Raw genomic sequence first — 16,853 nt, 5'->3', positions numbered from 1 at the left:
TGGGAGGTGGAGGTTCCTATGGGCTGAGATCTCACCATTGCACTCCAGCCTGGGCAACAGGAGCAAAACTCTGTCTCAAAAAAAAATAGTAACGTGCTAGGGTTGATCTCCTGGTTTTGACAAATGTACAATAGAGGAAACAGGGTGAAGAGTAGATGAGAACTCTCTGTACTATTTTTGCAACTTTCTTGTAAAAATAAAACTCTTCTACACGGTGTATTTTTAAAAAGAGCAGCAAGTTGTAATATGAATAGTATACTCTTATTTACTTTAAAAAACCAAAGCCTATAATACGTCCATATGTATAAACATGGCATAGCAGGGCACACACTAAATTGTTACTATTTGTTACCTGGGGGTGGGAGTTAGGGGGATTATTAATATGCTTTTTATTTCTAAGTTATCTAACTGTTGCAATGAGCAACCTGTTTCTATGCTATCTAGCCTGTTGTAAAGAGTAAAATATGCAATTTTTAAAAATCTAATGAATTTTGGGCAAAAATACTTGCTTCCCTATCTCCAAAAGCAGTGGCAAGAAAACATGTATTGGAGCTCTAACAAAGAGAGTTAAATTACACCCTGCCATAACCCCCAAAAGAGTTTCTCTCTCCAGAAACATGGTGGTTTATTTCACTGGCCCTGTTAGACAGTTAAACTGGATAACAAGTATAAGAATAATTACTACCCTACAGTATGGCAGCTTGTAAATGACAGCCTTCAATTTATTCGACAAAGAATTTTATACATTAAGGGAAATGTGGGGGAAACTATCCACTTCATACTACACACCAAACCTGAAGGTGTTGAATGTTTTTGACTCATTGAATGGAACCGTTCTTGGGGAAGGAAGGTAGTGTAGGATGGAGGAGGCAAAGTAAAGAAGGAGAAACTATAAGAGAAGGTTGAGGGAGCTGACAATTAAGGAACTACATATGATTCCAAGAGGAGAGAATGAGCCAAACTGCAGAACACAGAGGAGGAAAAGGAGGTAAAGACTGCTTGGAGGAGAACCAACTGAAAAAGCATTATAGCCAATAAGAGGTTCAGTCAGTGGCCAGATATAAGATAAATATACAAATACCAGTAAACTTCCTTTACAGCAGCCTCAACCAATTACAAAATGCCAGGGGCAAAAAGATCCATCTTATTAACAACAAAAAAACGAAGAATAATGAGGTATAAAATTAACAAGAAATTCCCAAGACCTATGTGATGATTACAAAACTTCATTGGATACCATGAGTAGATCTGAATAAACAGGAAGATTTATCTAGTTCTTTAGGTAAGAAGGTTCAACCTTGTAAAGATGATGATTTCATGTTGACTTGAATCCAGATCTTCAATGCAATACCAAGAAAACTCCTAGGAGGATTTTATTTATTTATTTACTTATTTATTTATTTTGAGACAGAGTTTTGCTCTTGTTGCCCAGGCTGGAGTGCAATGGTGCAATCTCAGCTCACTGCAACCTCTGCCTCCTGGGTTCAAGCGATTCTCCTGCCTCAGCCTCCCGAAGTAGCTGGGATTACAGGAACCTGCCACCACGTCCAGCTAATTTTTTTGTATTTTTAGTTGAGACGGGGTTTCACCATGTTGGCCAGGCTGGTCTTCAACTCCTGACCTCAGGTGATACACCCGCCTCAGCCTCCCAAAGTGCTGGGATTACAGGTGTGAGCCACCATGCCTGGCCAAGGATTTTAAATATAACTTGAGAAGCTGATTCCAAAATCCATCTAAGATGAAAAGCTATAAAATTGTGTAAAAAAACAACAGTACGATGTTAAAACATACTACAAAGCTGTAACCATTAAAACAGTGTGATACTGGTACATGTAGGTGCTTTGGCGATTCCTTGCCATCTCCAGCATCTAACCCCCTCTTCCTGCTCCCAAAGAATACCCTGAATATCCCAGCCAATGGATGAATGTGTGGTTGACCCCATCCCCAACACTAGCGGGGATTTGATTGGCTTAAGGTAGTCAGTGTATTCCATTCTTCCAACCATAGTTCTTGGATCAAAACAAGTCAAAGGACAACAAGACCCAATTCTGGAATTTGTTTAGGTAGACTCCCCCTTTTTCATGTTGGATATGATCAAGGAAGCATGTAGCCTTGGAAGCTCCTGGCTTCAGACCAAGATGGCACCAACAGGAAGGAGGTGGAGCCAATAACACAGAGAAAGGAAGCAGGTCCTTATTCTATCACCTGAGCTGCTGGATCTTGCCTGGTCTGAGGCCCTGAACATCTCAGCTATGAGCTGCACATTTGTTTTATTGTTTTAATCAGTTTACATTGAATTTTTAGTTGTTTACAACTTAAAGTATCCACCCTGTGTCAATACAGATTGAACACATAGATAGATGGAACAGCAAAGAGTGTCTAGAAAAAGCTGTGTGTGTGGAGGATGCACATGTATACATGTGCACCATATGTGTGTATGTATGTAAATGTAAATTTAGTATATAAGATGACATTTTTAAATCACAAGGGAAAAGATAGATTAATAAACAGTATGAGGAAAATTAACTACCCATCTTGAAAATAAAATAAAATTAGATTATTGCCACATACTGTTCACAAATGGAAATTTCAAATGCATTAAAATGCCAACATTTTTTAAAAATCCTATACAAGTATTAAAAGAAAATAAATGAGATAGGTTTCAAGGGGGCATGGTTGTTGTGTTTTTTTAAAAAAAAATCTTGGGGTAAATAAGATTTCTAAAACAAGACAGGAAACCTAGAAGCCATAAAGGGAAAAAACATAGAAATTAAAATGTAAAATGTTTACACGATAAAAGAGGCTGGGCGTGGTGCCTCAAAGTGCGTGGTAATCCCAGCAATTTGGGAGGCCAAGGTGGGAGGATCACTTGAGCCCAGGAGTTCAAGACCAGCCTGGGTAACATAGTGAGACACTGTCTCTATAAAAAATATAAAAAATTAGGCTGGGCGCGGTGGCTCACGCCTGTAATCCCAGCACTTTGGGAGGCCGAGGCGGGCAGATCACGAGGTCAGGAGATCAAGACCATCCTGGCTAACACGGTGAAACCCCGTCTCTACTAAAAATACAAAAAATTAGCTGAGCATAGTGGCGGGCGCCTGTAATCCCAGCTACTCGGGAGGCTGAGGCAGGAGAATTGTTTGAACCTCAGGAGACAGAGGTTGCAGTGAGCCGAGATCAAGCCACTGCAGTCGAGCCTGGGCTACAGAGCAAGACTCCGTCCCCAAAAAAAAAAAAAAAAAAAATATATATATATATATATATATATATATATATATATATAAATTAGCCAGGCTTGGTGGTGCACGCCTGTAGTCCCAGCTACTCAGTTAGGCTGAGGCAGGAGGATCACTTGAGCCCAGGAGGTCAAGGCTGCGGTGTGCTGTGATCACACTACTGCACTCCAGCCTAGTTGAGGGAGTGAGACTCTGTCTCAAAAAAAAAAAAAAAAAAAAAATAGAGGACACAAAGTTCACATTACAGGTAAAGTTAGTTACAACATACATAAAAACAAAAGATTCACATTAAGATTTTATAAAAGACTCCTACACAAGATTAAGGAACACACAGAAAGTGAGCAATGAATATGAACGAATAATTCACAAAAGAAGTAAAGGTGGTTGCCTAACATTTGACCAGCTGCTCCACCATGCTAGTAGTTAAGACAAATGCAAACCATGGCAACAACAAGGTTTGTTTTTTTCACCCTTAGGTTTTCACAACTAGAAGTTTGACAATGTTCAATGTGGGAAAGGTCCGGGAAACAGGCATTCTACACTCCTGGTTGGAGGCCACAATTAGGTTTTAAACGCAGACACTTTAAGACAAGTAGTTCTTACCCTGGCTACAAATGAGAATCACCTAGGGGGCTCTTGAAGAAATTCTGAGGACCAGCTCCACATCCCAGAGATTCAGACTTAATGGGTCCAGTGGGCCTAGCGCAGTGGCTCATTCCAGTAATCCCAGCACTATGGGAGGCCGAGGTGGGCGGATCACTTGATGTCAGGAGTTCAAGACCAGCCTGGCTAACATGGTGAAACCCTGTCTCTACTAAAAATACAAAAATTAGCTGGGCGTGGTGGTGCATGCCTGTAGTCCCAGCTACTTTGGGAGGCTGAGGCAGAAGAATCGCTTGAATCCAGGAGGTGGAGGTTGCAGTGAGCCAAGAGCGCACCATTGCACTCCAGCCTGGGCGACAGTGTGACACTCCGTCAAAAAAAAAAAAAAAAAAAAAGGGCCTGGGGTGTGGCCCTGACAGGGTGTTTGAAAGAGTCCCCAGGTATTTCAAATGTACAGCCAGGTCCACAAACTGCTGCTTTAGAACCAGAAATTTTACACCTAGAGGTCCATCTTTGAAAAATATAAGCAAATGTGTGCAAAGAGGTACCACAAGGACGCTCACTCCAGCATCTGCGGCAATCGCAAAAACTCGAAAACAATATAAATGCCATCCATTGGGGAACAGTGAAATAAACTATGGTACAAGCACACCATGTAATCTAACTCCTGAATCAGTCAGAAAGAACGCGGGGGGTTGATCTGTTATCTACTACACAAATTGAAATGAGAATACATCCAAAACATCATATCATTGAACAAAAACGCAAGTTACAGAATGATATGTACATATGATCCCATTTATGTTAGACAATACCAAATACTTCTATGAGTACTAATACATGTATATAAATGTTAAGAAAAGACAAGAACATGGCTGGGTGCAGTGACTCATGCCTGTAATCCCAGCACTTGGGGGACCACGTTGGGAGAATCACTTGAGGCCAGCAGTTGGAGACCAGCCGGGGCAACACAGTAGATCCCATTTCTACCAAAAGTAAAGCAAGTTATCTGGGCATCGCCACACGCTCCTCTCGTCCTAATTACTCGGGAGGTTAAAGCGGGAGAATTGCTTGAGCCCAGGAGCTCAAGGCTGCAGTGAGCTATGACGGCACCACTGCACTCTGGCTGGGTGACAGAGTGAGACCCTGTCTTTGAATAATTAATAATAATAATAAAACATACATCAAGCTGGTAACAATACTATAGTTAACTTCTAGGGAAAGAAGAGATTGAAAGGTGAATGGAAGGCAAGACATGTTTTACTTCTTAGTCTACAGTATTCTCTGAATTTTCATAAGAACATCATGTATTTATTATTTGGGAAATTAAGCAGTTTCTTATTTTATTTTATTTTACTTTTTTGAGATGGAGTCTTCCTCTGTTGCCCAGACTGGAGTGCAGTGGTGCGATCTCAGCTCACTGCAACCTCCACCTCCCAGGTTCAAGGGATTCTCCTGCCTCAGCCTCCTCAGTAACTGGGATTACAGGTGCCCGCCACCACACCTGGCGAATTTTTTGTATTTTTAGTAGAGACAGGGTTTCACCATGTTGGCCAGGCTGGTCTTGAATTCCTGGTCTCAGATGATCCACCTGCCTCAGCCTCCCAGAGTGTCGGGATTACAGGTGTGAGCCACTGTGCTGGGCCTCTTTTTTTATTTTATTTACATGCTACACAGAGATTGGACTGCCTTGAGCAAAGTTTTGTTGAGGAAAGGAAGACGAGATGGAAGACTTGCCTTCACCCCTGGCAAGCCACCCATCTGCCCCTCTTTTTTTTTTTTTTTTTTTTTTGAGACAGAGTCTCGCTCTGTCGCCCAGGCTGGAGTGCAGTGATGCGATCTCAGCTCACTGCAAGCTCCGCCTCCCGGGTTCACGCCATTCTCCTGCCTCAGCCTCCTGAGTAGCTGGGACTACAGGTGCCCGCCACCACGCCTGGCTAATTTTTTGTATATTTAGTAGAGATGGGGTTTCACCATGTTAGCCAGGATGGTCTCGATCTCCTGACCTCGTGATCTGCCCGCCTCGGCCTCCCAAAGTGCTGGGATTACAGGCGTGAGCCACCACACCTGGCCTCCATCTGCCCCTCTGTAGGCACAGCAAGCAAGGCCACCTCTTAATCACCACTGTGTCCCAGAGATGAAGCATGAGGGCTGACACACAGTACGTGCTCAATAAAACTAGCTGAGTTAATGCATACGTGAGTTAATGAATGGAGACAATAATGTGTGCAGGATGGATTACAGTTTGAGCCAATTTTTCCTAATTTGTTCTGGGTTGCCAACTGGTCTACTCTGTTATGTGGGGTCTACCCATAATTCTTGGCTCGGTGAGTGAACCACATCCTACAGTTGAAAATTCCTCTTCCCCACCCAGTGCCTTGAGAAGCAGCACTCAGAGCACCAGATGACTATCAGGTCAGAGGCACAGGTGAATCCCAGGCCTTGGAGATAACCTTGCCCAAAGACAGTTTTTATGGCAAAAGCCATCAGTGTTGTCACTAGGAACAACATGCCTTGTGCTGAGCAGGTTCAGTTCTAAGGAAAATGCAGCACTTGGGATTATGATTATACTTGTGCTTTTAGGAAAAAAACCAAACCAGAGCCTTTCAGCCAGGAAACACCCTTCCATCTGGAGTCGCTCCTGAACCACCTGCATCAGAATCACTTTGGGGTCTTCAAAAATGCAGGCTCTGGGCCAGCAGAATGAGAATGGAGGATCCACATGTCTAGCAGACTTCCCCAGGTAGGTCTCAGGCACTGAGCAGTTTGAGAGCTACCAGATCACAGCAGTGTTTCAAACTGGCCGAGACCAATTCATGGTTATTAAATCAATTTAGCAAGTCTAGGTTAGCTTTCTTATTTTTCTTTTCTTTTCTTTCTTTTTTTTTTTTTTAAGACAGTCTTGCTCTGTCTCCCAGGCTGGAGTGCAATGGCGCGATTTCAGCTCACTGCAACTTCCGCCTCCTGGGTTCAAACGATTCTCCTGCCTCAGCCTCCTGAGTAGCTGAGACTACAGGCACCCACCACCATGCCCACCTAATTTTTGTACTTTTAGTTGAGACGGGGTTTTACCATGTTGGCCAGGCTGGTCTTGAACTCCTGACCTCAGGTGATCTGCCCGCCTCAGCCTCCCAAAGTGCTGGGATTACAGGCGTGAGCCACCATGCCTGGTCAGCTTTTTTCTTTTTTTTAATGACAGAATGAGTTGGCATAGGATGGAACAGAACAAAACAGAAGTAGACAAAACACCTCAGAATGTGTCACAGACGTAAAAGTTAACCACCCAATGGGCTCACCTTGCCCGGTGCCTAGACAGGGGAATGGCAATGGATAAAGAGTAATTCACACAGAGCCGGCTGTGCGGGAGACCAGAGTTTTATTATTACTGAAATCAGACTCTCCGAGCATTCAGGGATCAGAGCTTTTAAAGATAATTTGGCCGGTAGAGGCTTGGGAAATGGGGAGTGCTGATTGGCCAGACTGGAGATGGAATCAGGGGTTTGAAGTGAGTTTTTCTTGCTGTCTTCTGTTCCTGGGTGGGATAGCAGAACTGGCTGAGCCAGATGACTGGTCTGGGTGGTGTTAGCTGGTGCATCAGAATGCAGGCTCTGCAAAATATCTCAAGCGCTGATCTTAGGTTTTACAACAGTGATCTTATTCCTAGGAGCAATCTGGGGGGGTTTAGACTCTTGGAGCCAGAGGCTGCATGACCCCTAAACTGTAACTTCTCATCTTGTAGCTAATTTGTTAGTCCTGCAAAGGCAGACTGGTCCCCAGGCAAGCAGGGGGTCTTTTCCGGAAACGGCTATTATCAATTCTGTGTCAGAGTCAAACCATGAACTGAATTCCATCCCAAAGTTTGTTCAGCCCATGCCCAGGAATGAACAAGGACAGCTTAAAGGTTAGAAGCGAGATGGAGTCGGTTAGGTCTGATTTCTTTCACTGTTGTCATTTCCTCAGTTATAATTTTGCAAAGGTGGTTTCAAAAGTAGGTATTGTTTTGTGAAACTTTGGTTTCAGCCTTACATATGCAAAGCTGAGATTCAGCTGGTGCTCAGCCTTACAGTTCTACTGGTTAAGAGATCAAAATGCATTTTTACAGGTTGTTAGACAGCTGCTGCCCACCTGCTGCCCCCCTACTGCCTTGGGGCACCCCTCCCCAAACTCTCATGTTGATTCTGGCACAGCAGGGGACTTCCAGGACACAGCTCAGCTTTGAGACCAGATCTGATGGGTCAGCCTCCTGGCCTTCCCAGATGTTAAATATTTTGACTCTCACCCCTGTGCACATGGGTATGTGTAATGGATTGGAACATTAAAATGGATTGAGATTATGTATAAGGTTTGAAAATATTGTCAAGGGGCAAGGTTTCTGAGGGGGCGGTGTGGGTGGGGGGTGGGTGCACTGGCTGTGGGAGAGGGAGTTGACCCCCTGGGCTGGCTTTCACAGGGCAAAGTAAACACACAGAGGCCTTTGCTTCCTTCTCACGGATTCAATCTGAAAACAAACAGTGCGAGGTGAGTAAATACACATGCTGAGCCCCACACTGGAAGCGGAGAGGGCGAGGACAGAAGATCAGAGGAGATGATAATGACCTTGCAGCTGAGGTCCAACTTCCAGCTAACATCCAGAGATGATCCAGAGACGTCTGGGCTTGGGAGGAATCCTGCTTAACAGCAGAAGGAAGAGAAAAGCTCCTGCCTGTGTCCACTAAATCAGCATGATCAACATCCAGTAATGAGGAAAATTTAAATCGACCAGCTCTTTAAGCACTAAATAAGAAGCAAATTCTGGCCGGGCATGGTGGCTCACATCTGTAATTCCAGCACTTTGGGAGGCCAAGGTGGGAGGATTGCTCAAGCCCAGGAGTTCAAGATCAGCCTGGGCAACATCCAGTGAGACCTCATCTCTACAAAAAAAAAAAAAAAAAATTCAAAAAAATGAGGCAGGGGAGGTGCGGTGGCTCACACCTGTAATCCCAGCACTTTGGGAGGCCGAGGTGAGAGGATCACCTCAGGTCAGGAGTTCAAGACCAGCCTGGTCAAATTGGTGTAACCCTGTCTCTACTAAAAATACAAATATTACCCAGGCATGGTGGCACACACCTGTAATCCCAGCTACTCAGAGGCTGAGGCACAATAATCGCTTGAACCCGGGAGGCGGAGGTTGCAGTGAGCTGAGATCACACCACTGAACTCCAGCCTGGGTGACAAAGCGAGACTCTGTCTCAAAAAAAAAAAAAAAAAAAAAAAAAAATAGGCAGGAAGATCACTTGAGCCCAGGAGGTCAAGGCTACAGTGAGCCAAGATCACGCCACTGCACTACTCCTGCCTGGGTGACAGAACGAGACCCTCCCTCAAAAAAAAAAAAAAAAAAAAAAGCAAATTCTGTTGTTTGAAATAAGATTCAACAACAACCAGTAATTTCATGAATTCCAAGTGGCAGGTATCATTCAACCCTTAGATCTAGAAAAAACCCATTTCCTACAATGCTGCCAGCCTTGTGTTTCTCCATAATTTTTCAGGAATAATTTTTAGTGTAAGTATAACCCATGCAATATATGGGACATTCTTATACCAAAAAATTATTTAAATGGGATATACTTATGTTACACAATTATTTGTTGTTCCTCTGAAATTCGAATTCACCTGGGCATCCTGTATTTTAATTTACTAAATCTACACAGTCCTAGGAAGCAGAATCTGCAGGAAAAATAGGAGAGAGGAGCTTATTTTCCGTGTTGGATTTTTCTGCACTGTTCAAATTATCAAGCATTAAAAATTTTAGTGGATTTTAAAAAATATAAACAGGGCCAGGCATGGTGGCTCATACCTGTAATCCCAGCACTTAGGGAGGCCGAGGCAGGCAGATTGCTTAAGCCTAGGTGTTTGAGGTCGGGTTGGGCAACATGGTGAAACCCTGTCCCTACAAAAAAAATTTTAAAACAATTAGCCAGATATGGAGGCATAAACCTATAGTTCCAGCTACTCTGGAGGCTGAGGTGGGAGAATCGCTCGAGCTTGGGAGGCAGAGGTTGCAGTAAGCCACAACACACCACTGCACTCCAGCCTGGGCGACAGAGCAAGACCCTGTCTCAACAACAACAAAATGTAAACAGGGATTATGGGAGATATGGACCATTTTTGTTTATTTTGTTTTCTTCTTTGTTCTTCGTAATTTATAAAAATCTCTTGGCCAGGCGTGGTGGTTCACGCCTGTAATCCCAGCACATTGGGAAGCCGAGGCGGGCAGATCACCTGAGGTCGGGAGCTCAAAACCAGCCTGACCAACATGGAGAAACCCCGTCTCTACCAAAAATACAAAATTAGACAGCCGTGGTGGCACATGCCTGTAATCCCAGCTGCTGGGGAGGCTAAGGCAGGACAATCGCTTGAACCAGGAAGGCGGAGGTTGCAGTGAGCCGAGATCGCGCCATTGCACTCCAGCCTAGGCAACAAGAGCGAAACTCCGTCTCAAACAAACAAACAAAAAATCTCTTAAATGTTATGTACATATTTTTGAAGTTTAAACAATTCAGCCCAATACCAGTAGAAAAGAAAGGCAATAAGGAAGCACTTTTCAGGCTGATGGGCAGAGAGAAGAAAGGGTTAAAGTCTTACGTGGAAAATGACCTGAAAATGAAGCCCTTTGAATAGTCAATGAATTGAAAGAAAATCCCAGAGATGGAAGCCAAGCCAAAGCATGGCAAGAGAGAAGTGGAAACGGGGGAATACTTGTCAGGTGGCCTGCGCGCTGGACTCCACGTTTCATTTTAACCATCCCTGCATGCTCCCAGGTTGTTGGGGTTTTTTTTAAAATTACTCTTGTGCCACAAATGAAATTCCTCTCTTTTTCAAAGTAGAAATCATAAGATGTGCTCCCATTCCTATCATTCTGGTTTTAATACTATTATTGCACAATTAATCTTAATTATTAATCTTCATATTAATCTTAACTATTAATCTTAATAATTAATCTTTGGAATAGAGACAATAGTGAATCAATGACACTTTTAGTGACTGTGTAATCCGTACATTTATGAATTAAAAAAAAATTTTTTTTTTTTTGGAGACAGGGTCTCACTCCAGTTACCCAGGCTGGAGTGCAGTGGCACATTTATGAATTAAAAAAAATTTTTTTTTTTTTTGGAGACAGGGTCTCACTCCAGTTACCCAGGCTGGAGTGCAGTGGCACAATCACGGCTCACTGCAGCCTCAACTTCCTGGGCTCAGGTGATCCTCCTGCCTCAGCCTCCTGAGTAGCTGGGACTACAGGCACACACCATCACGCCCGACTAATCTTTTGTATTTTTAGTAGAGATGGGGCCTCACTATGTTGCCCAGACTGGTCTGGAACTCCTGGGCTCAAGTGATCCTCCTGCCTCAGCCTCTCCAAAGTGCCAGGATTACAAGCGTGTGAGCCACCACACTCAGCCTGGTTCACACTTCTACTCCGTTCCCTGTAGCTCGGAACATGGCCCGGATCCTTCCTGGAGACCTCCCGGGGCCAGTGCTGACACCCAGCAATGAAGAGGTGGAGAGCCTGCTTCAAACCACAGACAGGGCTGGGCATACCCAGCTTGCCTCTCTTCAACACCAGACACATCAGTTTCTGGCTCCATCAGCAAACTACAGGCATCTGAAAAAGGGAAGAAAGTGGCCTCCGGGTTGACATACCCAAGGTAGAGAAGAAGTACTACACCAGCTTAAGAGCCCAGACCCTGAAGCCAGGCCTCCTGGTCCACATCCTGCACCACCATGACTGGCCCTGTGACCTCGGGGAGGTGAAATTAATAGCACCTGTCTCATAGGGCAATGGATTAATCCATGGGGAGCTATTAGGACAAGGGTGTGTTCTGAGCGCTGGATAAACGTTAGCTGTTCCTATTATTGAAGCCAAACAGGCCATCTTCTTTGGCAATCCTCAACAGAAAAAGTCAGAGGAAAATTGGATTATTTTCCATGCTGGGCTCGGCAAAGCAGCACTTCTCGTCCCGCCAACACTGCAGCACAAGGAGTCCGCTTGAGGAATATGTGCCATTTCCTTTAATTTGATCATTCATGGCCCTCGGTCACCTTCCACTTCTTATTCATTTGGTAACCAGGAGGCTTCCATCCACCTTTGGGAGGCAAGTGAAGGGGTAGGAAAGAGACAGCTGCAACTAGTTTGTGCCGCGCAGCTACTGGGGAAGCAGAAAGGCCAAGCTGACCATCGTTTGGTTTCCTCTTATGACTCACGCCAGGTGCTAAATGAAAACATCCAAGAAACGTGGCCAGAACCCACGTGTTCTTAAGAAGGGGTTAAATAAGGGTGGTGTGGCTGAGATGTAGAGTAGTTTTACCCAACATATGGCAGATTTCAAAGCTCCCAGATGTGGTCAGAGAAATGAATACTGGACGTCTGTGTAATAGGGTGATTCCAAGACAAGGCTCTAAGCCTAAGGCACCAGGTTCTAATCTTGATTCTCCCACTTTCCAGTTATGTGATGTTGGGACCCATATTTATCCTCTACAACAGCCCTGTCCCAGAGAACTTTGCGGTGATGGAAATGATCAGCGCCTGTGCTGTCCAATACGGTAGCCAACAGCCACATGTGTATGGCTTAAGGTGTTGTCTAATGCCACAGTTTGATTAACTCATCTTAATTAGTCAATGTATTTAAACATCAATGGTCACATATGGCTCGAGGTTACCATATTGAACAACACTGCTCTATAAGCTTCTGTTTTCCCTCATCTGTAAAATGAGGAGAGTCATAGTATCTACTTCATAGAGTTAGATGAGACCAGAGTAGGTACTGGGCAAAGCTACTGGTGAGCACTTAATACATGCCATTATCAAGAGTAATGGTATTTGATACACAATAGTCTCTCTCCTCCCTGCCCACATCTTCCTTCTTCTCCTATGGCCAGCTCACTCCATATCTTTGGGATTCACCCTGTGGTAGGCAGAATACTGGTCCTACCCCACAGATATCCACATCCTAATTCTGGGAAGCTGCAAATAGGTTACATGGCAAGGGGCAATTAAGGTTACATGTGAAATTAAGGTTGTCAATTAGTGGACATTAAAGTGAGGAGATTGGCCAGGTGCGGTGGCTCACACCTGTAATCCCAGCACTTTGGGAGGCCAAGGCAGGTGGATCACCTGAACCCAGGAGTTTGAGACCAGCCTGGGCAACATGGAGAGACCTCATCTCAACTAAAAATACAAAAATTAGCCAGGCATGGGGGCACACACCTGTAGTTACAGCTATTTGGGAGACTGAGGTGCTAGGATCACCTAAGCCTGGGAAGTCGAGGCTGCAGTGAGCCCTGATCATGCCGCTGCACTCTAGCCTGGGTGACAGAGAGAGAGCCTGTCTCAAAATAATAATAATAATGAGATTATTCTGGAGTATGCAGGTGAACACAATGTAGTCACAAGAGTCCCTAAAAGATGGATGAGGGAGGCAGAAGAGAAGCTTAAAGTGATGAGGCATCAGAAAGACTCAAATGGGGGAGGGGGCCACGAGCCGAGGAATGCAGGTGGCTTCAAGAAGGGGGAAGAGGCAAGAAATAGGTCCTCCTCGGGAGCTTCCAAGGGGAATGCAGCCCTGCTGACCCCTTGACTTTAGCCCATGAGGCCCATTTCAGAGCTCACACCTCAGACCTCCAGCACTCTGAGATAATAAATGAGTGTCGTCCGAAGCCACTAAGCTTGTGGTGATTTATTACAGCAGAAGCAGGAAACCAGCACAAGCCCTGGCTTGCTCATTCTGTGAAAACCGTGCTCATCAGGGCCCGGTGAACTCCAGCCGTGCATGCTTTGTATTTGACTGCTCAATGCCACGGTTAATAGCAAACCTATAAATCAAAAAGCCTGAAAGACTTATTCAAAATATCTTTTCTGCAAAGGAAAAAAAGAAAGGATCTGTGTTCCATGCTATTTTCAAAGTCCTATTTATATGTTTCAATTCTGTTCTTCTCTAAATGGTGCACAGCAAATTATAGTACTCAGTGAGCACCCTCGAGAGGACTCTGGGGTTACAATGAAAATAAACTGACAGTGGGCGTATATTTTTCCTTGCAGTGGTGTGTCTCTTTCATTGCCAAACTGCTCTCCCTTTCTGAGCCACCCCTCTAAGGAAATAAGGCCATTTTGGGGTATCTTGGCTGCCCAAAAATGATATCCTCAGGATGACAAGCGAGATGGTGGTGTTTGTAGCCAGCCCTACGGAACCTGGCCGGACTCTGGGGAAGGGGAGGTCAAACCCATGCAGAGGTTCCAGTTTCCTGCCTCTCCCCACTCACCCACATCCCACAGCACAGAGGCCTCTCGTGGTCATCTGCACTCCTGTCTCCCTCCCCAAAAGCACACCTTGGCTTACAAAAAAAACAGGGAAGCAACTTTTGTACCAGATTCTGGTTGGTCTGATCAAAGATGTTGATGCAAACTTTTCCAACAAAGAGGAATAATACTGCAGGCTTCTCTGGGTCAGCCTAATTTCTAATGTCAGGCTAGAAAGGAGAAATAGGTCCACAATCCCTTACCCATATCCACACATCCAGAATCAAGAAAGGTCTCAGGCCGGGTGAGGTGGCTCACGCCTGTAATCCCAGCACTTTGGGAGGCCAAGGTGGATCACCTGAGGTCAGGAGTTCCAGACCAGCCCAGCCAAGATGATGAAACCCTGTCTCTACTAAAAAAACAAAAAATTAGCCAGGCATGGTTGTGCGTGCCTGTAATCCCAGCTACTCGGGAGGCTGAGTCAGCAGAATCACTTGAACCTGGGAGGCAGAGGTTGCAGTGAGCCGAGATCGCACCACTGCACTCCAGCCTGGGCAACAAGAGTGAAATTCCATCTCAAAAAAAAAAGAAAAGAAAAAATAAAGAAAGAAAGAAAAGAAAAAAAAGAAAGGTCTTAAAACCACAAGTTTTCTTATAAATCATTTGGTACCAAAACCTGAACTGAGGTGATGTGAGTTGACTTAGAGCCTTTATTGATCCAGCTTAGCGTGACTATTCCTGAAATTTACTACAGAAAATAACGTGCTATTACAGAGTTCTTCCCCAAACCCTGCTGGGTCGGGGGTGTTCTGTAATATACAATATATGTAACATATTACTTTCCAAAGTTTAGAAAAAATGCCGCATCTCCAAACATACCTGACTTTGGATAACACGAAGGTTTTGGGTAATGGAGTGTGAATTTGTTCTAGATTTGCATCTCTCATTACATATGCATTTTCCCCCCTTTGTCCTCCTAGGAATCTAAAATTGAAAAAAAAATATTTTTTCCCTCAAGAATATTTTTAGCAGAAAATGATATGAAAATTTCAAAACTGGGAAAAGGCTCAATGGGAAGAGTGGGTCAATCTCTGTTTTATCCACATCCCTGACCCTTTTTTCAGGCAGATGCCTGACCTGAGCCCTCCCAAACTGCCTGTTCACCAGCAATCAGTGGCTGGGGGAGGGAGGGGGCTGGAAGAGGGAGGGGGACCATCTAGTGGTTTAATCTGGTGTGTTGATCCACTAAGCCAAACACTACCACACATCCCCCCAGCCACGCTTCCTAGACACCAGAGATCAGGACACCACGTGTCTCTGAAATCAGAAGCTAGATGTTCCAAAATCTGTGAAATTCACTGATTTAAGCTGGTGCCAAAGTCTATCAGCCACCATTTAGCTCCAAAGCCTTTGTTTTGTCAACCCCTCGGCTGCCTACAATGTAAGACAGCACCTTGGGCTATTCACAGCTCCATCAGTCTCTGCTGGACATCCTCGGTCCTTCTGGAAAACAACCTCAGCATGCAGTTGTGTGGGAATCCCAGGCTGGTCACAAGAAGTTGAATTTACATTGGCAATTTTGTGTAAAAATAATCGCATTTTTCAGAACATTCTGTTGGGTGTCTTCCAGAGGCTCTAAAGCACAGTCTGTTCAGCTGCATTCATTTAGGTAAAATATAGGGGAAACGTTCACAAAGAAAAGAGGCTGCTGGGGAATAGGTGGAATAAAGGGTTCATTCAGATTTTGGATTCGACCTCAACCCATTTCACGGTGGAGCTGTTCCACTAGCCACGGCTCTCCCTGGAGTGACCTGGTCTCCGTCCTTGTCCCATCTGTGGGGGTGGGGGGAAGTGCTGTACTGTGAGAGGGGCTGTCTGGGTTTGGACTATCCAAGAAGCAGATCCTGAGTCAGGATTTAAGTGCAGCGATGCTCTTTGGAAGGTGTGGGATGTATCCCCAGGGAGTGAGCAAATAAGGCAGGGAGGGGAAGAAAGCCACAGGGGCGTCCTGTGTTTCAAGCAAGCTACTCTTGCGGGCCATGGAGTTGACCCCACGAGGAAACTGGGCAATGGTGCAAAGTCCACGACCTGGAATTACCCCACCCAGAAGGGACATCCTCCCTAAAAAAGGCATTCTAATTAATAAATGTAATAAATTAAATAATAATCACATCAATAAATTTAAATACAAATAGATAAAATTAAACAATAAATTAATAAATTCAAAGTAAATAAATAAAGAAAATAGAAAATCGTCACACAGGCAAACACCACACTAGCCATTGTTGCTCGCAGGGCCCACCAGCGGATGCCAAAATCAGTAGGCGAAAGTTCGAAGAAAAACAAGATATTTGCAAGGTCTCAAAGTTCCTCCCCCAAGGAAGTTATTCATTACAAAGGAAAAAAATAGAAATTTTACAGAGGAGAATATCAGCAGGCACTACTTTAACTGAGTGATTGAGGTTTAACGTTGACACAACGCCATCGAGACAGATACAACATCACCTCTGTGGCATTCTTGCCAAAATGCATAACCTCGTCTTGAACACAGGAGAACGGCAGACAAATCCAAATGGAGGGCCATTCTCAAAATCGTTGACCAGTGCTTTTCACAAATGTCAAGGTCATGAGAGACTGAAAAACCATGACAAGGAAGAGACTCGAGACATAACAGCTAAAGGCAGAGGAGGACTCTGGATTGGATCCTGGGACAGAAGCAGGACGTTCATGGAAAAGCCTATAAA

At 44.5% G+C, this 16,853-nt stretch overlaps 1 protein-coding gene across 2 annotated transcripts in view, besides 1 other annotated feature; it reads right to left on the bottom strand.

Moving 5' to 3' along the window:
- ZNF664-RFLNA (ZNF664-RFLNA readthrough) overlaps positions 1-16,853 on the bottom strand; it is a 342,810-nt gene that overhangs the window by 176,793 nt on the left and 149,164 nt on the right. The gene's annotated exons all lie outside the window — the stretch shown is intronic.
- Positions 14,420-14,921: an enhancer, noted in NCBI's record as "H3K27ac hESC enhancer chr12:124608857-124609358 (GRCh37/hg19 assembly coordinates)". NCBI's record gives its function as "activates a minimal SCP1, AML or CMV promoter by ChIP-STARR-seq in primed H9 embryonic stem cells {active_cell/tissue: H9 hESC(primed)}" and the evidence as "EXISTENCE:reporter gene assay evidence [ECO:0000049][PMID:30033119]".

Source organism: Homo sapiens, chromosome 12 (genome assembly GCF_000001405.40).
Source record: "Homo sapiens chromosome 12, GRCh38.p14 Primary Assembly".
Taxonomy (NCBI): domain Eukaryota; kingdom Metazoa; phylum Chordata; class Mammalia; order Primates; family Hominidae; genus Homo; species Homo sapiens.
This window is presented reverse-complemented; position numbering and strand designations above follow the sequence as displayed.